Source organism: Homo sapiens, chromosome 10, assembly GCF_000001405.40.
Source record: "Homo sapiens chromosome 10, GRCh38.p14 Primary Assembly".
NCBI classification, from domain to species: domain Eukaryota; kingdom Metazoa; phylum Chordata; class Mammalia; order Primates; family Hominidae; genus Homo; species Homo sapiens.
In genome coordinates this window covers 27,855,249-27,881,336 of record NC_000010.11, presented here as the reverse complement: position 1 = coordinate 27,881,336, position 26,088 = coordinate 27,855,249, and the positions used below count along the sequence as shown (strand labels likewise).

The 26,088-nt window shown below is 39.1% G+C and overlaps 1 protein-coding gene across 27 annotated transcripts in view, besides 1 other annotated feature; it reads left to right on the top strand.

Annotated features, from left to right (window-relative positions):
* ODAD2 (outer dynein arm docking complex subunit 2) overlaps positions 1 to 26,088 on the top strand; it is a 187,508-nt gene that overhangs the window by 118,339 nt on the left and 43,081 nt on the right. For all 27 annotated transcript variants that reach the window (XM_047425404.1, XM_024448052.2, XM_047425414.1 and 24 more), the window contains 2 exons: positions 18,715 to 18,903; positions 20,491 to 20,712. In XM_047425404.1, coding sequence (XP_047281360.1) covers positions 18,715 to 18,903; positions 20,491 to 20,712 — 411 coding nt within the window. The remainder of the gene's footprint in view (positions 1 to 18,714; positions 18,904 to 20,490; positions 20,713 to 26,088) is intronic.
* Positions 23,185 to 23,808: an enhancer, noted in NCBI's record as "OCT4-NANOG hESC enhancer chr10:28146458-28147081 (GRCh37/hg19 assembly coordinates)". NCBI's record gives its function as "activates a minimal SCP1, AML or CMV promoter by ChIP-STARR-seq in naive and primed H9 embryonic stem cells {active_cell/tissue: H9 hESC(naive and primed)}" and the evidence as "EXISTENCE:reporter gene assay evidence [ECO:0000049][PMID:30033119]".

The following is a 26,088-nucleotide window of genomic DNA, read 5'->3' as shown; positions in this document are numbered from 1 at the left end:
TACAGTACAATGTTTGTTGTTACCTGAGTTATATATTTTGAACACATTCATAAGGGTTAATGACATGTGGAATCAAATAAATTTCAAGTGGTTATTCATTAGATTGATTATTTTAGTTATGTAAACTATTGGTAACACATACTTTCTAAAAATAATAATAAAAAACAGTATTATCATATACCAGACATCTTGCTGTATGCTTAATATGTATCCTTTTAACAATCCTGAAGAGTAAAATCTTATTAGCTCCATTTTACAGATGAGGAAATTGAAGCTTAGAGAAGTTAAGTAGTTTGCTGAAAGCCACATTGCTGATAGTGATGGATGCTAGGATGTGCTCCCCAATTTTTTCACTATGGGACTTACTCTTAAGCTGGTAGTTTCCAAACATTGGGTTCACGTAGAAATCTTTATGATGCTGCCTTCCATTCCCACCCACCAATGAATACATTCTGAATCAATTGGTATTGGTGCAACTTGGGTGACTTGATCTATTTGTGCTCCTATAACAAAATACTACAGACTGGATAATTTATAAAGAACAGAAATTTATGTCTTACAATTCTGGAGGCTGGGAAGTCCAAGATCAAGGCACTGGCATTGGTGTCTGGTGAGGGCTGCTCTCTGCTTCCAAGATGGCACTTGGTTGCTGTGTCCTCACATGGCAGAATGGGGAAGGGCAATAGGGCCTCTTGCTATGTGTAGCCTCTTTTATAAAGGCATTAATTCCACTCACTAGAGCTCCATCCTCATGACTTAATCAGCTCCTAAAGGTCCCACATCTTAATATTACTACATAGGCAATTAAGTTTCAACACATGAATTTTGAGGGGACATAAACATTCAAACCATAGCATTTGAACTTAGGAAGTTTTAAAAACTCTCCAGGTAATTCCAATATAAAGTAAAATTTGAGAACCACTGTCTTGAAAACTACATTTTCTGCCTCCCAAAGGAATTTTTTTAGACATAAGAATGCTCAGATAAATTATTTACTTCAAGAAGACATCCAGATAGCTCAACTGGTTTCTCTAAGTATTACATAGATTTAGAAAAGTTTCACAAGGTGAAATTTATATCTAAAAGATTCTCTTTTGTAGGAAAATTGTTCAACTTGATTAATGCAATAAAGGGTAGCTAGAAATCCTGTAAGGGCAGGACAGGGGAGTCCTGGCCTGTATAATTCACTTGTTAAAGATACAGGGATTTCAGCTAACTTTAAAGCTTAATGTGAACAAATAGAGTAACATGAAGCTGAAATAGCTCATGGAGTTTGCCACACCAGCAGAACTACCATGTCTAGATCATAGAAGATAAGAATTCCGCTACACTCTGCTCTTGTCGGACCACATCTGGAATTCTGCATTAAACTCTGTGTTTATTTTCAGAGGAACTTCGATAAATGAGAGAGTAGGCCTCTGCAAACTATTTAATATGAAAATTGGCTAAAGGTACACAGCAGAAAGGATGAGGGAGACCAGACAGCTGGCTTGGAATATTAGGAGAGCATTCATAAAGATTAAGATTAGTTACAGTTAATATAATGTTATATTTTACATTCATTATGAGTTAGTAGACTCTTATCTACCAAGTTGGGAAGATAACCACATAGCTTCAGAAAAATGTATGTAACAGATCCAACAAGTAAACTTTTGGAAAACAATCTCTTCATAAATTGAAGACTCCCTGTTTTTGGAGTATAATACATCATATAGTTAGATTTTTTTCTTGTAATTATGGTTTCAAGTGTTGTTCTTAGCCTAATCCGTACAACTCACTGTTTAGAAGCATCTGTCTGAACCTGAACAGGGAATTACTTTTCTCTTCTTAATCTGTGGGTTACTGAGTATAAGCAGGAAAGACATTTAAATATATATACATTTTAAATTATTTAATATATACATATATTCCTATATAAAAGACATATGCATAGATATACACACATAGCTTTATAAATAATAGCTATTTTATGATAATATATTACTTACATTTGTATAGCACCTTATACTTGTTATAAAGTTCTTCCAAATACATCATTGGTTAAGAATGTCATGTAATTAACTCTGTAAGCCTCTGGTTACACAATGGTACCTCACAATTTAGACCTCCTCATAAATGGAATACTGCATCTAAAGCAGAATCAACCCAGGGCATGGTAAAATGGAAAAATCACACTTATCTGTGATATTTAAGAAAATTATGTCAAATCAGGCTAGAGAAGCAGAAACAAATCAACCATTCCATTTATTTTTTTGCTTTTCTTGTGATTCAATTCGTTAAAGCTACCCTCAACACGTAATGCATTTTTTTGTTATGTAAGTCTAGACTATAACGATTGTATCATTTCTTTTACCCAAGCTAATTTTCCTTTCCTTTGGTTCACAAGGACAAGGGTAATAATTGATATTCTAATTTTGATTTTTGAAGTACTACATTTGGTAGGGTAAGGTAAGTCTAAAACAGCAATAATTTTTTTTAAAGTTGTTGGATTTGTTAACAACTGGGAACAGAACAAGGATCTTATTGTGATAGAGGAACACAAACAAACTCTCTGTGCTTGAGGATATATAGGCTGTATTGAGAATTTTTAAAGGATTTAATTCATTAAGTATACTTTTGACGACAAGATTTGCCCGTTCAGTTTTCACTTCTCTGACATGCTATTCTAATGTTAGTGTAGGATTAAAAAAAGTTTGTATGTGATGTGCTATTTTAAAATCTTTTTCAAATACTATATTATGCATCCTGTGGTCTCTATATGGCCCAGAGTGGTGTTTTTATAGCTCTTCTGGTTAAAAATTTTTGTCTTGAGTCATGTTACGCTCGCCTTGTATGTGCTTTAAAGTTGCATTATGTATATCTCACCTCATCAGAAAACTGCCAGTGCTTTTCGCTGGAGGCAAGAGAAGGAATTTCATACCCATTAATTTAATTGCTTTACGCCAAAACACCCAGTTTTCTGTTTTATACATTAATCTGTAAATAATGTCTCAATATTTTTCCCATTAGTTGAATTTTAACCAAATGTATTTGCTGTTTTATATTTTTCATCTTATTTGTGCAATCTGTTTGATTTTGTTTACTTTGAACTTCATACCTTTTCCTACTTATTTAAGCATCCAACCTTTACTTTAGTGCCATTATAAAGGCATTTCATATTCTCTTTCTCAATGACTGTTTTTGTTTGTCTTAGGGAATGATCTTGGTAAAATAACTTCATCTTTTTTTAAAATTACTAATCTCCTAAGTAGTGAAGGTTCTTTTGATTCTGTATGAGCTAGATTTAATTTAATAAATAATTGTTGGTGCTTTCAAGTCTTAAGTGCACAGTGTATAGTGAAAAAATGTTAAACAAGATTTCAGAAAAGCTAAGTTTTTTGTTTTGTCACTAACTATACATGAACCTCAAGCCTTTGTGTCTATAGAACAAAAATTTCATGCCCCCTTAAGACAACGTTGTGAAGATCATATGAGATAATGCATGTGGAAGTCCTTTATAAATTGCAAAATTTAGCCTGTTATTTTTACTATCATTGTTATTATTAAGGGTTTTGCCATTACAGATGAACATTTGAATTGTGCATAACCAATATTGTACCAGTGGTGAAACTGGCAACGACTAGGTTTTTAAGACATGTGAGAAGGTGGAAAATGTGGTGAATTTGCCCAGTCGTTCAGCATTGGTGAAAGACAGTTTTGGCAGAATAATTACTTTTTCCATCCTCAGATATACTGCCTCCCTTTCCATAGAAACTATGCGAGGCAAGACGTCATATGTTTAAAATCTTTAAATCTAAAAAGGAAAAAAGAAAAGAAAGAAATCTCACCTTCAAAACAAATAAACTTCAGAGGGACCTGCAGGGTTTTGAGCCTAATGTTTCCCTGTCCCACAGATTAGGAGTCATTAGGAAGCTTATGGGACCCTGTTGAACTGTGCCCATGATCTCACGGGGACTTTGGCTCCTGGTATCTCATACCATGCACCTTAGGAAGTTCTTGGATCAGAGGCAGATGTGATCACTTTTGTCATTTTTCCCAGTATGGCCCCAGTGCTGTGGCTGATTGTCTCTACTGATGAAGCAACTGGAGAATTGGGAAGTCATTAGTCGCTGTGAGGTCAACTCCAGAGGAGCAAAACTGATTTGAAATTTGGCTTGTTGAACTGATCTCATCAATTTATATTCCATCAGACACAGCTAATACTCTGTTCCTTTTAAGTGTTTGTAACTATGGCTAAGTATCTTAAAGTTAAAACTGCCTTTTTTTTTTCACAATTCAACAAATATTTTTGAATGTTCACTGAGTGATAGACATGAGCCTATATCCCAAGGGAGAATCAAAGAACAAGAAGACTGAGTCTCTTTGTCCTGGAAGAGCTCAAGAATTAATGGGGGAAGTATCTGTAAGAAAATTATTACAATATGAAGAACAAAAGGCTACAGATGCCTTTAGCTGTGAATGACCACATCAGATTTTAGGATTAGTCAATTCTGCAGCTCAAGAAGTTCATCAGGGAACATGCATATAGAGATAAGTTGTAACACAGTAAGTGTACTGGAAAGTGTGCTTGGACAAACCAAAGTGTAGCTGACCCCGGATATTTTCCTTTCTATTTTGCCATTCCTTGGTGTGACCTGTGATGACTCCTGCCTATAAGTAGGAGGACTCCCAGAGGATTCCTCAGAGACGTTATCTCAGACCTCATTGCCCATAATTGGGCCCTAAGCAAATAATTGGCTGCTATTAAAAGTTGAGTTAGAGTTTGCAGGGCTAAGTGGGAGTTTGTGGGAGTTTGAAAGGGAATCCCAGTAAAGAAAATAACAGATTCATTAGTTTTCCTTCTAACAGTCAGGACCCTCAGCTGCAGGTCTGCTGGAGTTTGCTGGAGGTCCACTCCAGACGCTGTTTGCCTGGGTATCAGCAGTGGAGGCTGCAGAACAGTGAATATTGCTGAACAGCAAATGTTGCTGCCTGATCGTTCATCTGGAGGCTTTGTCTCAGAGGGGTACCCGGCAGTGTGGGGTGTCAGTCTGCCCCTACTGGGGGGTGCCTCCCAGTTAGGCTACTCGGGAGTCAGGGACCCACTTGAGGAGGCAGTCTGTCCGTTCTCAGATCTCAAACTCTGTGCTGGGAGAACCACTACTCTCTTCAAAGCTGTCAGACAGGGACATTTAAGTCTGCAGAGGTTTCTGCTGCCTTTTGTTTGGCTATGCCCTGCCCCCAGATGTGGAGTCTACAGTGACAGGCAGGCATCCTTGAGCTGCAGTGGGCTCCACGCAGTTCGAGCTTCCTGGCCTCTTTGTTTACCTACTCAAGCCTCAGCAATGGCGGGTGCCCCTCCCCCAGGCTCGCTGCCATGTTGCAATTCAATCTCAGATTGCTGTGCTAGCAATGAGCGAGGCTCTGTGGGCATGGGACCCTCCGAGCCAGGCGTGCGATATAATCTCCTGGTGTGCTGTTTACTAAGACTGTTGGAAAAGTGCAGTATTAGGGTGGGAGTGACCCGATTTTCCAGGTGCCATCTCTCACAGCTTCCCTTGGCTAGGAAAGGGAATTCCCTGACCCCTTGTGCTTCCTGGGTGAGGCAATGCCTTGCCCTGCTTTGGCTCATGCTCGGTGGGCTGCACCCACTGTCCTGCAGCCACTGTCCAACAAGACTCAGTGAGATGAACCTGGTACCTCAGTTGGAAATGCAGAAATCACCTGTCTTCTGCATCACTCATGCTGGGAGCTGTAGACTGGAGCTGTTCCTATTCGGCCATCTTGGAACCACCAAAACTAACAAACAGAAAGGACATCCACACCAAAACCCCATCTGTACATCACCATCATGAAAGACCAAAGGTAGATAAAACCACAAAGATGGGGAAAAACAGAGCAGAAAAGCTGAAAATTCTAAAAATCAGAGTGCCTCTCCCCCTCCAAAGGAACGCAGCTCCTCTCCAGCAACGGAACAAAGCTGGACAGAGAATGACTTTGATGAGTTGAGAGAAGAAGGCTTCAGAAGATCAAACTTCTCCAAGCTAAAGGAGGAAGTTTAAACCATCACAAAGCAGCTAAAAACCTTCAAAAAAAGATTAGATGAAGGGCTAACTAGAATAACCAGTGTAGAGAAGTCCTTAAATGATGTGATGGAGCTGAAAACCATGGCACAAGAACTACGTGACGAATGCACAAGCTTTAGTAGCCGATTCAATCAACTGGAAGAAAGGGTATCAGTGATTGAAGATCAAATGAATGAAATGAAGCGAGAAGAGAAGTTTAGAGAAAAAAGAATAAAAAGAAACAAACAAAGCCTCCAAGAAATATGGGACTATGTGAAAAGACCAAATCTACATCTGATTGGTGTACCTGGAAGTGATGGGGAGAATGGAACCAAGTTGGAAAACACTCTGCAGGATATTATCCAGGAGAACTTCCCCAACCTAGCAAGGCAGGCCAACATTCAAATTCAGGAAATACAGAGAACACCACAAAGATACTCCTCGAAAAGAGCAACTCCAAGACACATAATTGTCAGATTCACCAAAGTTGAAATGAAGGAAAAAATGTTAAGGGCAGCCAGAGAGAAAGTTCGGGTTACACACAAAGGGAAGCCCATCAGACTAACAGTGGATCTCTCGGCAGAAACCCTACAAGACAAAAGGGAGTGGAGGCCAATATTCAACATTCTTAAAGAAAAGAATTTTCAACCCAGAATTTCATAGCCAGCCAAACTAAGCTTCATAAGTGAAGGAGAAATAAAATCCTTTACAGATAAGCAAATGCTGAGAGATTTTGTCACCACCAGGCCTGCCCTACAAAAGCTCCTGAAGGAAGCACTAAACATGGAAAGGAACAGCTGGTACCAGCCACTGCAAAAACATGCCAAAATGTAAAGACCATCGATGCTAGGAAGAAACTGCATCAACTAACAAGCAAAAGAACCAGCTAACATCACAATGACAGGATCAAATCACACATAACAATATTAACCTTAAATGTAAATAGACTAAATGCTCCAATTAAAAGACACAGACTGGCAAAGTGGGTAAAGAGTCAAGACCCATCAGTGTGCTGTATTCAGGAGACCCATCTCATGTGCAGAGACACACATAGGCTCAAAATAAAGGTATGGAGGAAGATCTACCAAGCAAATGGAAAACAAAAAAGGCAGGGGTTGCAATCCTAGTCTCTGATAAAACAGACTTTAAACCAACAAAGATCAAAAGAGACAAAGAAGGCCATTACATAATGGTAAAGGTATCAATTCAACAAGGAGAACTAACTATCCTAAATATATATGCACCCAATACAGAAGCACCCAGATTCATAAAGCAAGTCCTTAGAGACCTACAAAGAGACTTAGGCTCCCACACAATAATAATGGGAGACTTTAACACCCCACTGTCAACATTAGACGGATCAACGAGACAGAAAGTTAACAAGGATATCCAGGAATTGAACTCAGCTCTGCACCAAGTGGACCTAATAGACACCTACAGAACTCTCCACCCCAAATCAACAGAATATGCATTCTTCTCAGCACCACATCACACTTATTCCAAAATTGACCACATAGTTGGAAGTAAAGCACTCCTCAGCAAATGTAAAAGAACAGAAATTATAACAAACTGTCTCTCAGACCACAGTGCAATCAAACTAGAACTCAGGATTAAGAAGCTCACTCAAAACCACTCAACTACATGGAAACTGAACAACCTGCTCCTGAATGACTACTGGGTACATAATGAAATGAAGGCAGAAATAAAGATGTTCTTTGAAAACAATGAGAACAAAGACACAACACACCAGAATCTCTGGGACACATTTAAAGCAGTGTGTAGAGGGAAATTTATAGCACTAAATGCCCACAAGAGAAAGCAGGAAAGATCTAAAATTGACACCCTAACATCACAATTGAAAGAACTAGAGAAGCAGGAGCAAACACATTCAAAAGCTAGCAGAAGGCAAGAAATAACTAAGATCAGAGCAGAACTGAAGGAGATAGAGACACAAAAAACCCTTCAAAAAATCAATGAATCCAGGAGTTGGTTTTTTGAAAAGATCAACAAAATTGATAGACCACTAGCGAGACTAATAAAGAAGAAAAGAGAGAAGAATCAAATAGACGCAATAAAAAATGACAAAGGGGATATCACCACCGATCCCACAGAAATACAAACTACCATCAGAGAATACTATAAACACCTCCACACAAATAAACTAGAAAATCTAGAAGAAATGGATAAATTCCTGGACACATACACCCTCCCAAGACTAAACCAGGAAGAAGTTGAATCCCTCAATAGACCAATTGTTGCTCTGAAATTGAGGCAACAATTAATAGCCTACCAACCAAAATAAGTCCAGGATCAGAGGGATTCATAGCCGAATGCTACCAGAAGTACAAGGAGGAGCGGGGACCATTCCTTCTGAAACTATTCCAATCAATAGAAAAAGAGGGAATCCTCTCTAACTCATTTTATGAGGCCAGCATCATCCTGATACCAAAGCCTGGCAGAGACACAGAAAAAAAAGAGAATTTTAGACCAATATCCCTGATGAACATCGTTGCAAAAATCTTCAATAAAATACTGGCAAACTGAATCCAGCAGCACATCAAAAAGCTTATCCACTATGATCAAGTGGGCTTCATCCCTGGAATGCAAGGCTGATTCAACATATGCAAATCAATAAACGTAATCCAGCATATAAACAGAACCAAAGACAAAAACCACATGATTATCTCAATGGATGCAGGAAAGGCCTTTGACAAAATTCAACAGCACTTCATGCTAAAAACTCTCAATAAATTAGGTATTGATGGGACGTATCTCAAAATAATAAGAGCTATTTATGACAAACCCACAGCCAATATCATCCTGAATGGGCAAAAACTGGAAGCATTCCCTTTGAAAACTGGCACAAGACAGGGATGCCCTCTCTCACCCCTGCTATTCAACATAGTGTTGGAAGTTCTGGCCAGGGCAATCAGGCAGGAGAAAGAAATAAAGGGTATTTAATTAGGAAAAGAGGAAGTCAAATTGTCCCTGTTTGCAGATGACATGATTGTGTATCTAGAAAGCCCCAGGTCTCAGCCCAAAATCTCCTTAAGCTGAGAAGCAACTTCAGCAAAGTCTCAGGATACAAAATCAATGTGCAGAAATCACAAGCATTCTTATACACCAATAACAGACAAACAGAGAGCCAAATCATGAGTGAACTCCCATTCACAATTGCTTCAAAGAGAATAAAATACCTAGGGATCCAACTTACAAGGGATGTGAAGGTACTCTTCAAGGAGAACTGCAAACCACTGCTCAGCGAAATAAAAGAGGACACAAACAAATGGAAGAACATTCCATGCTCTTGGATAGGAAGAATCAATATCGTGAAAATGGCCATACTGCCCAAGGTAATTTATAGATTTAATACCATCTCCATGAAACTACCAATGACTTTCTTCACAGAACTGGAAAAAACTACTGTAAAGTTCATGTGGAACCAAAAAAGACCCTGCATTGCCAAGACAATCCTAAGTCCAAAGAACACAGCTGCAGGCATCACGCTACCTGACTTCAAACTATACTACAAGGCTACAGTAACCAAAACTGCATGGTACTGGTACCAAAACAGAGATATAGACCAATGGAACAGAACAGAGCCCTCAGAAATAATACCACACATCTACAACCATCTGATCTTTGACAAACCTGACAAAAATAGGAAATGGGGAAAGGATTCCCTATTTAATAAATGGTGCTGGGAAAACTGGCTAGCCATATGTAGAAAGGTGAAACTGGATCCCTTCCTTGCACCTTATACAAAAATTAATTCAAGATGGATTAAAGACTTAAATGTTAGACCTAAAACCATACAAGCCCTAGAGGAAAACCTAGGCAATACCATTCAGGACATAGGCATGGGCAAGGACTTCATGTCTAAAACACCAAAAGCAATGGCAACAAAAGCGAAAATTGACAAATGGGATCTAATTAAACTAAAGAGCTTCTGCACGGCAAAAGAAACTACCATCAGAGTGAACAGGCAACCTACAGAATGGGAGACAATTTTTGCAATCTACTCATCTGACAAAGGGTTAATATCCAGAATCTACAAAGAACTCAAACAAATTTAGAAGAAAAAAACAAACAACCCCATCAAAAAGTGAACAAAGGATATGAACAGACACTTCTCAAAGGAAGACATTTATGTAGCCAATAGACACACGAAAAAATGCTCATCATCAGTGGCCATCAGAGAAGTACAAATCAAAACCACAATGAGATACCATCTCACACCAGTTAGAATGTCGATCATTAAAAAGTCAGGAAACAACAGATGCTGGAGAGGATGTAGAGAAATAGGAACACTTTCACACTGTTGGTAGGACTGTAAACTGGTTCGACCATTGTGGAAGACAGTGTGGCGATTCCTCAAGGATCTAGAACTAGAAATACCATTTGACCCAGCCATCCCATTACTGGGTATATACCCAAAGGATTATGAATCATGTTGCTATAAAGACACATGCACACGTATGTTTATTGTGGCACTATTCACAATAGCAAATACTTGGAACCAACCCAAATGTCCATCAATGATAGAGTGGATTAAGAAAATGTGGCACATATACATCATGTAATACTATGCAGCCATAAAAAAGGATGAGTTCATGTCCTTTGTAGGGACATGGATTAAGCTGGAAACCATCATTCTCAGCAAACTATCGCAAGGACAAAAAACCAAACACCGCATATTCTCACTCATAGGTGGGAAGTGAACAATGAGAACACTTGGACACAGGAAGGGGACCATCACACACTGGGGCCTGTCATGGGGTTGGGGGATGGGGGAGGGATAGCATTAGGAGATATACCTAATGTAAATGACGAGTTAATGGGTGCAGCACACCAACATGGCACATGTATGCATATGTAACAAACCTGCATGTTGAGCACATGTACCCTAGAACTTAAAGTGTGATAATAATAATATTAAAAAAGAAAATAACAGATTCAAAGATGTACAGGAATCTGGCACTTTAGGAAACAGTTTCCAGGAGGCTGGAGTGTAGACTATGCCAAAGAGAAGACTGGGAGAGAAAAGATTGAGATTGGGAGAGAAAAGATTGAGGTTGGGCCAGATCGGGAAATGCCTGAATGTCATGCTAATGATTATTCTGAAGAAAAATGAAGCCAATAGAGGATTTTAAGACATTGACAGCCCTTTTGTTAATGTCCTTCTAGACTTTTTGGAGATCTGACATTCATTCTCAAGTGAAGAACTTGTGTTAACATCATTCCTGGAAATCTCCCATGTTTATAAAATTTTATACTTCCAACTATATATATATATATTTTACTTTGAAGGTCATTTTGACTCAATATTAGAACACTGATTTGCATTTGCTCTCCTTGAGTAGCTTAGAGGTGTCACTCCCTTCCCCACATCATCAAACATCACTGTTGGAAAGTCTAATGATAATGTCTTATTCTTTCCCTTAGAAGTGACTTGGTCGGCCAGGCATGGTGGCTCATGCCTGTAATCCTAGCTCTTTGGGAGGCCGAGGCAGGTGGATCACTTAAGGTCAAGAGTTCGGGACCAGCCTGGCCAACATGGTGAAACCCTGTCACTACTAAAAATACAAAAATTAGCCGGACATGGTGGCATGCACCTGTAATCCCAGCTACCTGGGAGGCTAAGCCAGGAGAATCATTTGAACCTAGGGGGCGGAAGTTGCAGTGAGCCAAGATCGTGCCAATTCACTCCAGCCTGGGCAAAAGAGTGAAACTCCATCTCAAAAAAAAAAAAGAAAAAGAAAAAAGAAAAAAAAGTGACTTAGTCTTTTTGCTTGCTGATTATAGATTTTTTTTTTTAAGTCCAGAAGTTGTACCAGAATATATCTTTATATTACGCCACTCTGGGTCAATTTTTCCAAATATATAACTTTTCAGTATACTCTCAGGTTTTATTTATTTCAGGAGAAAGATTTTTTTATTCTAGATTTTAAAATGTGCCCTATTGTAGAGATTTGTTTTCTTTCTTGGGGACTCTTACATACATGTGTTAGATCTTCTCTGCCTATTTGTTGCCTTGAATTTTTTGTTAACTATTTTTACATTACCCTTCAGTTTTCACATCTTCTATTGACAAAGATTATCCATTATCTTTATTTGTTCTTGTGCTCCTTCTAGTTCACTCTTCATTTCAAAAATGCATTTTTATTTTATATCTAATTCTTTATAGATATCTTTCATCTGTCTTTTAAAAAGTTGCTTTTTTAAATTAATCACCTAATTACAACTTCAGCAATTCTAATTTAGGTTTTTCATTCATTGCTTTTATTATTTTCCTTTAGCTCCTATTGAAATTTTATCTTACAGTTTTCATCTGTTTTGTAGGCATGTCTTTCTAATGTGCTTTCATCGTAAGAGCATGATTTTGCTCCTTATTCTCTTTTTTTATGTTTACAGGAAAATTTTATTTTATTATTTATTTTTATTTTATTTTATTTTATTCTAAGTTCCAAGATACATGTGCAGAATGTGCAGGTTTGTTACATAGGTAAATGTGTGCCATGGTGGTTTGCTGCACCTATTAACCCATCACCTAGGTATTAAGCCCTGCATGCCTTAGTTATTTATCCTGATGCTCTCCCTCCCTCCGTGCCCCAGCAGGCCCCAATGTGTGTTATTCCCTTCCCTGTATCTATGTGTTCTCATTGTTCAGCTCCCACTTATGAGTGAGAACACGTGTTGTTTGGTTTTCTGTTCGTGTGTTAGTTCGCTGAGGATGATGGCTTACAGCTTCATCCATGTCCCTGCAAAGAACATGATCTCATTCCTTTTTATGGCTGCATAATACTCCATGGTGTATATATCTACCATATTTTCTTTATCCAGTGTATCATTGATGGGCATTTGGGTTGATTCCATGGCTTTGCTATTGTGAATAGTGCTGCGATAAACATATGTGTGCATGTGTCTTTATAATAGAACGATTTATATTCCTTTGGGTATATACCCAAGTAATGGGATTTCTAGGTCAAATTTTATTTCTGGTTCTAGATCCTTGAGGAATCACCACACTGTCTTCCACAATGGTTAAACTAATTTACACTCCCACCAACAGTGTACAAGTATTCCTATTTCTCCACAGACTCACAAGCATGTTGTTTCTTGACTTTTTAATGATCGTCATTCTCACTGGCATGAGATGATACCTCATTGTGATTTTGATTAGCATTTCTCTAACAGTCAGTGATATTTAGCTTTTTTTCATGTTTGTTGGCCGCATAAATGTCTTCTTTTGAGAAGTGTTTGTTCATGTTTTTTATTTCTTATAATAACTGTATATGGAAATTGACTGGAGTCTTTTTTATACTGCTTTTTTTTTTTCTTTTTGAGACAGAGTTTTGCTCTGTCACCCAGGCTGGAGTGCAGTGGAGTGATCTCAGCTCACTGTAATCTCTGCCTCCCAGGTTCAAGCGATTCTCATGCCTCAGCCTCCCAAATAGCTGGGATTACAGGTTCACGCCACCATGCCCAGCTAATTTTTGTATTATAGTAGAGATGGGATTTCACTTTGTTGGCCAGGCTGGTCTCAACCTCCTGACCTCAAGTGATCCGCCTGCCTCAGCCTTCCAAAGTGCTGAGATTACAGGCGTGAGCCACTGCACCCAGCCCTTGCTTATTTGTAAGTGAAATGAGTTTTCCTGGTCTTTTAGAAGGGAGATGTGGACTAGGATGGCACTGCTACTTTCTTGATTCCCAGGATTCCATTGTCATCTTCACAGTGATGCAGGGTGCATTCTGGCCCCTCTGCTTCCACCCTCCCTTTTTATCTGAACTTTCTTAGTCCTTCATCCCAGTGTCTCTGCGTTGCTCAATTTGGATGATGCTATTCCGTGTAGTTTCTCTTCTGTGCATGGCTTTGTCCCAGAAAAGGCTTCAGTTTGTAGTTTTACCAATTCATGGAACTCAGGCCTAACAGAACACCCCAGCACCATCAGACTTTGTGGCATTGTAGTCTTATCCGTTCATCACAGCCTGAAAAGTCCATTCGCAGCTGCTTCTGCTGCTGTTCTGGAACTTTCCAGTGAGAACTTCATGGCCCTTTGGGGTTTCTTGGCTCTCAAGACCTTCACAAATGCCTCTGCCTTCCCACTGTGGTTGCTAGTTTGTCCCTCCAAGTCTGCTTGTGCTTTGGGGTCAGTTGTGGGTATCTTGTTCACCTACTATGGTGTATATTGTCCATTGTGTTTTTTGTTTTGCTCTACTATCTGCACTGTTTTCATAGGGAGAATGAGATTCAAACACTTTGCCACTATCATCTGTCCAGAATTCCTCCCGGTTTTCTTGAGAAAAAAAAAAGAAGTTCTGTGATTTTGTCATTGACAAATGTATGAGACTATTGACATCTATAACATCATTGAGATAGTTCGGATATTTTCCCCTCCAAATCTCATGTTGAAATTTGATCCCCAGTGTTGGAGTGGGGTCTAATGGGAGGAGTTTGGGTCATGGGGGCTGATCCCTTATGAATGCCTTGGTGCCAGCTTTGTAATGAGTGAGTTCTTCTTGGTCTATTAGTTCCCACCAGAACTGATTGTTAAAAGTCTTTTAAAAAGTCTGGCACCTCCCTCCCCTCTCTTGCTTCCTTTCTTTTACCATGTGATGCCTACTTCCTTTCACCTTCTACCATGAGTGGAAGCTTCCTGAGGCCCTCACCAGAAGCAGATGCTGGCACCATGTTTCTTGTAAAGCCTGCAGAACCATAAGCCAAATAAACTTATCTTCTTTATAAATTACCCAGTAATTTATAAAGTATCCCTTCATAGTAACACAATTGGACCAAGATGATCCTTGGAAAAGTTGAGCTTTGGGGCTATGCTTTTGAAGTCCCCTGAAATTCTAAGAGCCCCTGTTTTTGCTTTTGAATTTACATGTGCATGGCCTCATTTGAGCCAAGTATATGGTTAGGATTTACAAATCACAATATTGTGAGGGGGCTCTGGGGTCAGACAGATCTGGAATCAAATCCTGCTTCTGCCACTCTGTCATTTTACCTTTTACATGTTAATTTATTCCTCTGGGTTTTCTTCATCTATGACATGCAAATACTAAAGCTCCATCTACCACCACTAACTGCCTCAAAGGGTAATTAGGATTAAACAGTGTTGGATATTTCAAGGTTAATACATTCATGTTTATAGTATTTTGATTTGAGAGCATCCTAATGCATAGAAGTGTAATAAAGTGACAGTATAGAAGACAATTGAAAATATAATCATTTCTTTTGTATTACACAGAAATCTTTATTGTAGAATTTTACAAAGAATGGCAATTAACTATTTTTCCAAATAAGCTTATGAATACATCAGAATTTAGAAGTATGTCCTAACTATCAGAAATTGTATTTAGATTTACTATTGAGAACCAGCCCACCAATATTGCTGCTGTCACTTCTCTCAGCAATCAGGTAAGGCAACGTGTTACAGAGAGAAAGTGGCTTCGCCCTCACACTTGCATAGAACCTGACTCGTGTCCTGCCTTCACCATTTAGTAGGAGTTTAGTTTGGTTTGTTGTAACCACAGTGAAAGCTTTCTTTTAAGGCTATGAGTTTGCAAACAATCAAATTCAATGAATGTTAGTTGAGTATCTACTAACTGCTAGAAACTGGCATAGGTACCAGGCATTCAACAATGAATGAGACAGCAAGAGTCCTCACCCTCCTGGGACTTACAGTTCAGGGTCAAAGACAAACAAAGAAACCACAACTATGTGCAGTGATAGGTGCTGTCATACAGGAGAACCAGGTATTATGGAAGATGCCACTTAACCCAGACTTGAGGTTCAGGAAAGGTTTCCTGAAGAAGAGCATACCTTAGTTGGCAGCTGAAGATGTGTAGGAATTCCCAAGCTAACAGGAAGACAGACAGAAAAGGTTTGTGCAGACTTGTGGAGACATGCACATTTGAGGACATGAAAACTGAAGGACTAATTCATAAAGTAGTGTTCCCTCTACTGGCTGGAGAGTTTTTAAAAATACAAATATTTTAGTGGACCTCACCCAGACTTAATGAATCACATTCTCAGGGAATGAGTGCCAGGGTTCTTATTATTAGCTCACATAGAGAGCCACTGGCTCAGGGTATATGTGGGGGAGGTTGGAGAAGAGGTGTCAAGGCAGGGAAGTTGAGGCTGGAGAGATAAACCAGGGGTGCACCTTGAAAGGTTTGCAAACAACGTTGTGGAGTTTGAATTTTATCCTAAGGGCAGGGGTTGCTGTGGAAGAATTTGGTGGGTATGGAGATGGGATCATCAGATTTACGGTTTCTAATGATCACTCAGTTGAGTAACACATGGTGCCTACCTTCATGAGGGATACAATCTATTTTATAAGGTTCAACCTCTTTGAGCCTCACTTTTAAAAACCTAAAATGGAAATAATACCCATTTTGCATGATTCCTGTGAGGTTTAACTGAAATAACTTATGTGAAGTGCGTAGTACCATGCCTGATACGCCGTTGGGATGCAAAAGATGTGAATTATTATTATTTGAGAAAGTGATAGAGCCAAGTAATTGGTGGACATTACACTCACCCCCATACAACCTTAGAGAAGGTGGAGATCTGACTCCAAGATCTTCTGACAAATTCTTTTCCTTGGCCCACACCTGGGACACCAGAAAGAGCCCACTATCACCCCACTCCTCACTCTCCCCTCACTCCCCACTCTCACCTCACTCCCCACTCTCACCTCACTCCCCATTCTCACCTCACTCCCCGCTCTCACCTCACTCCCCGCTCTCACCTCACTCCCCGCTCTCACCTCACTCTCCACTCTCACTTCACTCCTCACTCTCTAATTTGCATGGCTTTAGTTACAGTCTTTATTCTGATGAATTCCAAATCTCCACTTCCAGCCTGTTTTTTTTTTCTAAGCTCCAAGCCCATACATTCATCTGCATCCTAGATAGTTCCACTTAAATGTCTGTGGGTACTTCATTCAAATTAGGTCTTCTAATATCATATGCCACCCCAAGAAAACCAAACCAAGTCAAACCAAACCCAGCTCTTCCAACATTAGCCCTACTAAGTTGAGCCAGAGACGTGGGAATCATCTCAAATCACTCATCTCTATCTTCTCCAAGCAAGCTTCCCAAATCCACAATCTTCTCTCCAGGCATAGACCACCACCCTCCCCCAAACCATCACCACTTCCCATGTGGTCTAGCGAAATAGCCCCTGTGTTCCCTATACCATTCTTTGCACCCACTCCAACCCTGCACCCTGTAATTCTGAGAAATCTTCTAAGATAAAAAATTGATAAAAATCCTTCCCCCACACTTCAGCCTCTTCAGGGGCTTTCCAATGCCCTTAAAAATGAACTCCAAACCCTTTACCAAGATGCTCCCTGAAGGATCTTAAAGGTGAGACCCTTCAAGATCTCACCTCTTAAGTCTCACTTTCTCCCATGCTGCCTTTCTTATTTTGTGCTCCAGTCATTCTGAACTAGAAAAAAAAAAAATCACCTTCTCTCTCGCTGTCAGATCTGTGCAACATGATGATTTGTCCAACCAGAATCCCTTTCACGCTGGATAACTTTTTGTCCCTTAGGCCTTGGGGAGTCAGCCCTTGAACCTTTATATTAGTTGAGGTTTCCTCATTGTATGGATTTGTAGTCTCTTCATCTCCTCCTCCCTCCAGTGCTATTTGTTATACTTGTAATTTCTTAATGCCCATCTTCCCCACCAGTTGTAGGCAACATCATGGCAAAAGAATATATAAAGTCGATCCACATTATTCACAAATTCTCCTTGGGAATTTGCCTACTTGCTCAAATTTACTTGTAACCCCCTACTCAATATGGTCATTCTTGGACATGCACAGAGAAGTGAAAAATTTGAGTCGTCCAATGCACACGTTCTCAGCTGAGGCTGAAGAAGGCGATTCTCTGCCTTCTTGTTTCATTTCTCATACTGTAAGCAAGTGTCCATTTTGCAGTCCATTTAGTGCCATAATTTTTGGATTTTTGTGCTTTTTGTTGGTTATTTCACTGTTCACAGTGGCCCCCAGATGTGGTGCTGAGGTGCTGCCTATGGTTTGTAAGGGCAAGAAGGCTGTGGTGTGCCTGAAAGAGAAAATATCTGTGTTAAATAAGCTCCATTGCATGAGCTATAATGCTGTTGGCCATGAGTTCAATATGAATGAATGAACAATATATATGAAATCAGGTGTCTTCAAACAGAAATACACATAAAACAAGGTTATGTATCCATCAACTGATGAAAATGTTGTAGCCAGAGGCTTGCAGGAACCTAGTCCTATGTTTCTCCTAAGAGAAAAAGTTTAGTATTGGCTGATTCAGTGTTTGCAATTACTTTATAGAACAAAGCTACCACAAATAGTAAGAATCAACTGTACTTTAATAACTTTGATATCCTCAGTAGCTAACACAGTGACTCTCCTGTAATATTCAATAAATATTTTTTGAAACTGAATTTTTATATGTGCTACATATGTATATAGACTTATACATATGTACACACACACACTTTATACATATACATGTAGAAATAATATATAATATAGAAATAAATTAAGTTGAAGTAGTCTTTCATGCCAAAGATGTACCTCACAGCTGTATTGTTACTTTCTGCCTCTTAAAAAATGCCTAAATGTAGGTTTAGTTTTGATACCATCTTTACTTTTATTTTTGTCTAGGATGCTGGGGAAATGGTTCGTTCCTTTGTTGGTGGTTTGGAACTTATTGTCAATTTACTGAAATCAGATAACAAAGAAGTTCTGGCAAGTGTATGTGCTGCCATTACCAACATAGCAAAAGATCAAGAAAATTTAGCTGTTATCACAGATCATGGAGTTGTTCCTTTATTGTCCAAACTGGCAAATACAGTAAGTAACACATCTTTTTGTTTTACATGCATATTGTCCTGAGATATCATGGTGTAGTGATGAAAACAATGCATTTGCAGTCCAGAAACCTGGATTCAAGTTTAATACCCATTGCTTATGAGGTATGAGATTTGGTCAACTCATTTAGTTTCTCTGAGACTAATATATGTGAAAGCGTATTTTAAACTATAAAATGTTAGTATTACAAGATCCTTGTAAAATAGAAGCTGTTTTTTATTTGCCACTGGCAAGTAAACTGGCAAATACAAGTGCTATTATGTAAGTGTTAACTATCATCTTCACCGCCACCATCATGGTTATGATTCTCGATGGTTCTTCATGCCAACGTTAGAAATCAAATGTGCCTCCCCAGTTTAGCAAGCTTCAGTCGATGGCATTCTTGAGCTAGAAGACTTTGGCAATCATTTCATTGTTTATCCAGAGCTGTGCCAGACAGAATAAGCAGCCTTGAGAGACAATGACTTCACCATGACCAGAGGTATTTGAGCATAGCTTGGACTACCACTTGGCAGAAAAGTCATAGAGCAGAAATTCAAACCCTGGAAGGATGCTTGGTCTAGAAGACTTTGAGTTCCTAAGAATATCTGTCAGATTCAGTTAAGGACACCAAGTTGTTGCCTGAATCAAGAGAGCAGTACTCTTAATAAACACAAAACCATCCGATTCAGTAATAGTATGCCCATTACAGGGCAATTACGTATACAAAGAAGGATATCGTCTGCATCAAAAAATACAGAAAGGAAAATGGAAGACCCAAAATGTGTCTTCGGATTTGCTGCACTCTCTTCTCCCTCTCAGGAGCCAAGGCAACCAAGGTGTATTACTGATATCAATGTATTCCTAGGGTGGAGAAATCCAGTCAATCCACTTATCCCAGTTAAGTGCAGTATCCCTTTAAGGATATCTAATATTCTATAAATATTTGGATTACAAAATAACTTGCTGATCTGTAATTTTGCGTTGTGTAGTAGACTCACTCTAAAGAAAATCTAGCCTTGAGCTAATGACTGATGTCAGATGCTTGGTCACCTTTGAGTGCACTGACTACATTCAGTTCATAAGAAGAAAACTCAAGATTGAACGTTGGTCTGTTGGTGACCCACCAAAAGTCTAGTTCCTTCAGCTGGGTGCAGTGGCTCACGCCTGTAATCTCAGCACTTTTGGAGGCCAAAGTGAGTGGATCACTTGAGGCCAGGAGTTCAAGACCAGCCTGGCCAACATGGTGAAACCCCTTCTCTACTAAAAATACAAAAATTAGCCAGGTGTGGTGGCGGGCACCTGTAATCTCAGCTACTTGGGAGGCTGAGGCATGAGAATCACTTGAATCCAGGAGGCCGAGCTTGCAGTGAGCTGAGATGGCACCACTGCACTTCAGCCTGGGCAACAGAGTGAGACTCCATCTAAAAAAGACTAGTTCCTTCAAAACATCACCTAGGTAGTCAGCCAGCTAGCCCTTTTCTCTAGACTCATTGGTGTCTTAATGGTTAATAAACATAAAGTGCTTATAGACATGATCTTGCAGGGTCATTACAATGCACAGATCCCATTTCATTTTCCCTTGCACAGAATAACAATAAATTGAGACATCATCTAGCAGAAGCTATTTCACGTTGCTGTATGTGGGGCAGGAATAGAGTGGCCTTCGGTGAGCACAAAGCAGTGGCTCCACTAGTGCGTTATCTGAAATCAAATGACACCAACGTGCATCGGGCGACAGCTCAGGCCTTGTACCAACTCTCAGAAGACGCCGATAACTGCATCACCATGCATGAGAATGGTGCAGTAAAGGTACAGTTGAATGACTTTGTGGTTTAGTCCAAGTTTGGTAAATGTAGCCTGGAAAGAAACTTAGGCATCACTAAGATTTCTCTAAAGGAGGTATTCAGAGACACAAAAGTGCCTGCCTGCTGCATCATGGCTGCATTCAAGCCATGTGTTATCATGACTTTTTTTTTCTTTTTAAACAAGGTCTCGCTGTGTTGCCCAGGCTGGAGTATAGTGGTGCAATCATAGTTCACTGCAGCCTTGAACTCCTGGGCTCAAGTGATCCTCCTGCCTCACCCTCCCAAGTAGCCAGGACTACAGGTGCATGCCACCATACCTGGCTAATTCTTTTAATTTTGTATACAGACAGGGTCTTGCCATGCTGCCCTGGCTGGTCTTGAACTGCTGGCCTCAAGTGATCCTCCTGCTTCGGCCTCCCAAAGTGTTGGGATTACAGGAGTGAGTCACAATGCCCAGCCAGTGTGTTATGATGATTTATGCTGCAGAAAAGTTGTATGGAGATAGAATTTTTCTAAATTAAAGCATAGAAATGTACTTAGTAAAATAATCATTCCATAATTTGATTTTTGATGAAAGAAAATGTACAGCATATGGACAAGCAGTAGTACTCACAATTCTATTGGCTATAGTGTTTACTTAACACATAAATAATAAAGGATAGAGGCAACCATAGGCACCAACTAAACACCAAAGGAACTGGCTGAAACAATAACTAGATGGAGCTTGTTAGTCTAAACCATAACAACAATAGATAGATTCAAAGACATGTTTGTTTGTTTGTTTGTTTGTTTAAATCTGTGCATCAGTAGACAGGAAAGTTTCTGTAAAGAGACTCTAACTTACCTACACATTGCAAACCAACTAGAATATTTTGCTGGCAATAAGTATAAAAATACTTAGAGTACATGAACAGCTCACATGTATTAGGAAAAATTGATTTAAAATATTAGTTCTTTTCTATAGCCTGTTTCCTTGTACAATATAATTTTACTGCTTATTACCTTCATTTGGAGCCTATGACAACCAGATGCATTTACATCTTAAAACAGATGCCCAAAGTGGACTTGTTGGTTTAGCAAAGAGTTAAAAACCCCAGTTAGTCATATCTAGTCAAATCTAGATATGCTAGATATGAAACATCTTAGGAGGAATAGTACTCTTAAAATACCAATTGGCAATTTTTGAGGCAATTATTTTAATTAATTCTTGAAATCTATTCCAGTAGAAGAATATGATGTTAATTTTTCTGAAATTAAACTCAATATATGTTTGAATGTGTCAACCTTTCCATTATAAATCTGTTTTTATGGCATGTAAATTAGGCCAGATTAGTTTCTTCAAGCAAAAATCTGGCCAAAGCATCTTTTAAACTAAGTAACAATGTTTAAAAGTAAACTATAAAAAACATATTGGACCATTAACTTCAAGTTGTTCAGGAATGCTAAAAAGGCCATTGTCTCAATATGACTGCGTTCCCATTTCAAAAAGGAAGATATTTCTAATTTAAAATTATGCATACTTTTATTGAACAGGGACTTGCACAACCTAAGTATGCAGTCTTAAAAAAAAAAGAAACTATAAAATTTAAGTAGCCAGGTAAAAATGTCTGACATATAGCATATGCTTAGACAATTGTCAGTTAGTTTAAGCTCAAAAAGTTTAAAAATGTATAGGCATGCACCTGTAGTCCCAGCTACTCGGGAGGCTGAGGCAGGAGAATCGCTTGAACCTGGGAGGTGGAGGTTGCAGTGAGCTGATATCACACCACTGCACTCCAGCCTGGGTGATAGAGCGAGACTCTGTCTCAAAAAAAAAAAAAAAAAATGTACTAAGGTGTACATGTAATGGTTCAGTTGACATAAATGCCTGGTGTATATGCAACTCGCAATTATTTCTTCTGATGCAAGCCAATAGATAATCCAAAATCATTTATGAATATTATCCTACCGTGTAAAGTGACCAAACTGTGTTTGGCCCACCCACACAGTTAGGAAAGTTTCTGTAAAGAGAAACTTTAGAATTAGAAAAAGAAAGGCAATAAGAAAGATTAGAGTGAAGGACAGAAAAGAAAAAAGCAAAGAAGGAAAATTGTGTCTGTTGTGTTCTAGAGCCTTTCCCAGATTATCCTTGGGTTTCTTGGGGGCCTTTCTCTTTAGTCTGTTTGCATTTCCAACAACCTGTTACTCCTACTGGAGGAAAACTGTAAAGAACAGGGTACTTTTTTGTAAATTACTCTGCAATAACATAGAGGCAGACCTTACCATGCTGTGTTACCAGCAGAAATATGCAACCTGGAGATTGTCTCTCTCGACCTCTTCTTCCTACTCTGTTCTGAGCCCCAGAACTTGTGGGGTCATGGGGGAAGCATAACAACCTGTGTTTCCTTTCTCTGGTTTTCTTTAAGGAGGAAAAAAATGTGGGTGTGGCATACTGGGTGTTGGTAGAATCATAATTTGATATTTGCTTGGATATGGGAATAAAGGAAAGCATAGTAAAAAAAATGATTCCAGATTTCAGCCTAGATGAAGAGGAAGATTTCACGAGCCAGGTAATGCAAAAAATTTTGGCACATCAGGGTGGTTCAATTACCTGCAGAGAATGTGTCACAACTACATGTGTGACTGCTAACATTTCTGACTTCGAATGCATGTAAATTTTATCCAGTATTTTGGCAAAACCCTGGCTGTCTTTGTTCCTAATTCCTGCTGCCGACTTCTCGTCAAATGCTTGTTATTTTCCAGTTGTACAAACATTCCTGCTGCAGCTGCCAATGAGTGAATGTTGACAGGCTCTTTAACAATGACCAGAGTCACCGTGTCGCCTATTCATAAGTAATTGATCCTAGGATTAGCTGCTTTGTTAGACAATTTCCTCAACAGCAGTGGCCGATGTAATGCGGTGTATCTGTCTCCTGAAGGCTAAGGTTTATTCTATCCTGACAGTGACGGAGCAGGGTCTGAAATATAATGAGTTCAGTTTCTAATGTGTTCAGTTTGAATAGTCAGTTTGAATTTTAGGTGTAAAGCAGCGCTGCCCAGCAGAAATGTCACATAAGCCATGTATGTAATATTAAATTTTCTAGCAGTCACACTTTAAGAAAAGATAAAAGGAAACAGTGAAATTAATTTTAGTAATATATTTAACCCAATACACTTGACCTTTGAACAATGCAGGAGTTAGGGGTCATGACCCACTACACTGTCAAAATCCACATATAACTTTTGACTGCCCCAGAACTTAACTACTAATAGCCTACTGTTGACCAAAAACATCAACAGTTGATTAATACATATTTCGTATGTTATATGTATTATGTATTAGTACAATAAAATTAGCTAGAGGAAGAAAAGTGTTATGAGAATCATAAGGAAGAGAAAATATATTTACTGTTTATTAAATGGAAGTGGATCATCATAAAGGTCTTCATCCTTGTCATCTTCACGTAGAGTAGGCTGAAGAGGAGGAGGAAGAAGTTGAGTTGGTCTCGCTGTCTCAGGAGTGGCAGAGGCTGAAGAAAATCCACATATAAGTGGACTCGTGCAGTTTAAACTTTTGTTGTTCAAGGGTACATGGTGTATATCCAAAATATTGTTATTTCAACATATAATCAATATAAAAATTACTTAAGATACTTTATATTATTATTATTTATTTATTTTTGGGACGGAGTTTCGGTCTTGTCGTCCAGGCTGGAGTGCAATAGCTCAATCTCGGCTCACTGCAACCCCCGCCTCCTGGGTTCGAGCGATTCTCCTGCCTCAGCCTCCTGAGTAGCTGGGATTACAGGCACCCGCCATGATGCCCGACTAATTTTTGTCTTCTTAGTAGAGACAGGGTTTCACCATGTTGGCCAGGCTAGTCTCGAACTCCTGACCTCAGGTGATCCACCCACCTCGGCCTTTGTACCCAAGTCTTCAAAATCTCTTGTGTGTTTTCTAGTATGTCTCGGTTTGCACCAGCCACATTTTAAGTGCTCACTAGTGGCTAGCGGTTTCCTTGCCAGACTGTGCAATTCCAGAGTGGAGAGTGGAGAGTGGAGAGATTCAGAAATTCAGCAGGGGGTATTAAGCCATTAATGAGGGTGGATGAGATGTTTTTGGCAGAGAGTTTAGAGAGCCCTGGGAAATATCTACATTTTCACTTTTGGGGCATGTAAACTAGGAAGAGCTGTCAGACTAGACTGGAGAAGTTAAGAGGTTAACCAGGAGTTCTAGAAGCCAAAGGAAGAGCAAGTTTCAAAAGGGTTTGTGTTTAAATACTGGTAAGAGGTCAACAAGGATTTCCTGATCCACTTATGTTGAAAAATCAGCTTGTGTTTTAGAAGAGGTAAGAATCTCTTCTAAATGTGTTAATCAATCCCCTCCAATACAGTGTGATAGGAATATTCAATCCTATTCTCTTTATGATTTTGCACAGACTTCCTTTTCAAATGTATCAGCCCAGGGATTTGTATCATTACAAATTTGTGAATATGGATGCAGATTTGTTGGAAACTATGTGGAAAATATGAGAAGTCTAAGAGATATCCAAGTTATTTGCTAATTATAACAAAACTGTAGCAAAGGAGAGTAATGGGGAAGAATAAATTGCAGGAAAAAAATTCATCAAGGCAAGCCCTTTCCTAGGACAGAAAAAGTGATCAACTAGAAGACTGATGAGCACCTATTAAAGGCATCAAGCTTCTTTCCCCATGGTGTCATTGGATTTGTTTTTGCAAATGTCTATACCAGGCAAGTGAAAGCTACATCATGGCTTATAACTTTCTGAAAGGCAGGAAATTGAAGAGATTGCAGACAAATACAATCAGAAGTATGTCCAGCATTGGCAGAGTGAGTGGAGAGCAGTTCAATTGGAACTGCTGAATTGGTACAGCCAACAGGCTAGCTGCCTCCTAGGCTCAGTACATGTACTGGCGTTCCAGAGAGCCAGAAAGATGATCCCAGACGCAAACACACCCATCGTTTTTGAAGCCTAGCACAGGGACAAAAAAATACTGTTAATGTTTGTGAGTCAAGTAAACGGATTTTAGATACTAAGGTCACCTAGAAACACTCATTAAGTGCCCATATACTTAATGTTTTATCTAAATATATTTCCTGTTAATTAAAACTCTTAATGTCGCTGTAGTTTTGAGTGTTTTTCTCCCATTCCAGACATTCCTTGGAGTGCCGAGAAGAGTTTACTAGGTGATATGCTATTAAATAATTTAATAGAACCAATTGGTATCGATGAATATATACTACATATAGAGTAATAAACAGACTTGTTTCTGATTGGCTTTTTAATTTTTATTTGTATTTCTCCTGTAAAGTGAGAAAGAAGTTCATGATTACTGAAGGGGTCCAGTAAGTCAGAGTTTAGTTCATCATGTTTAACTTT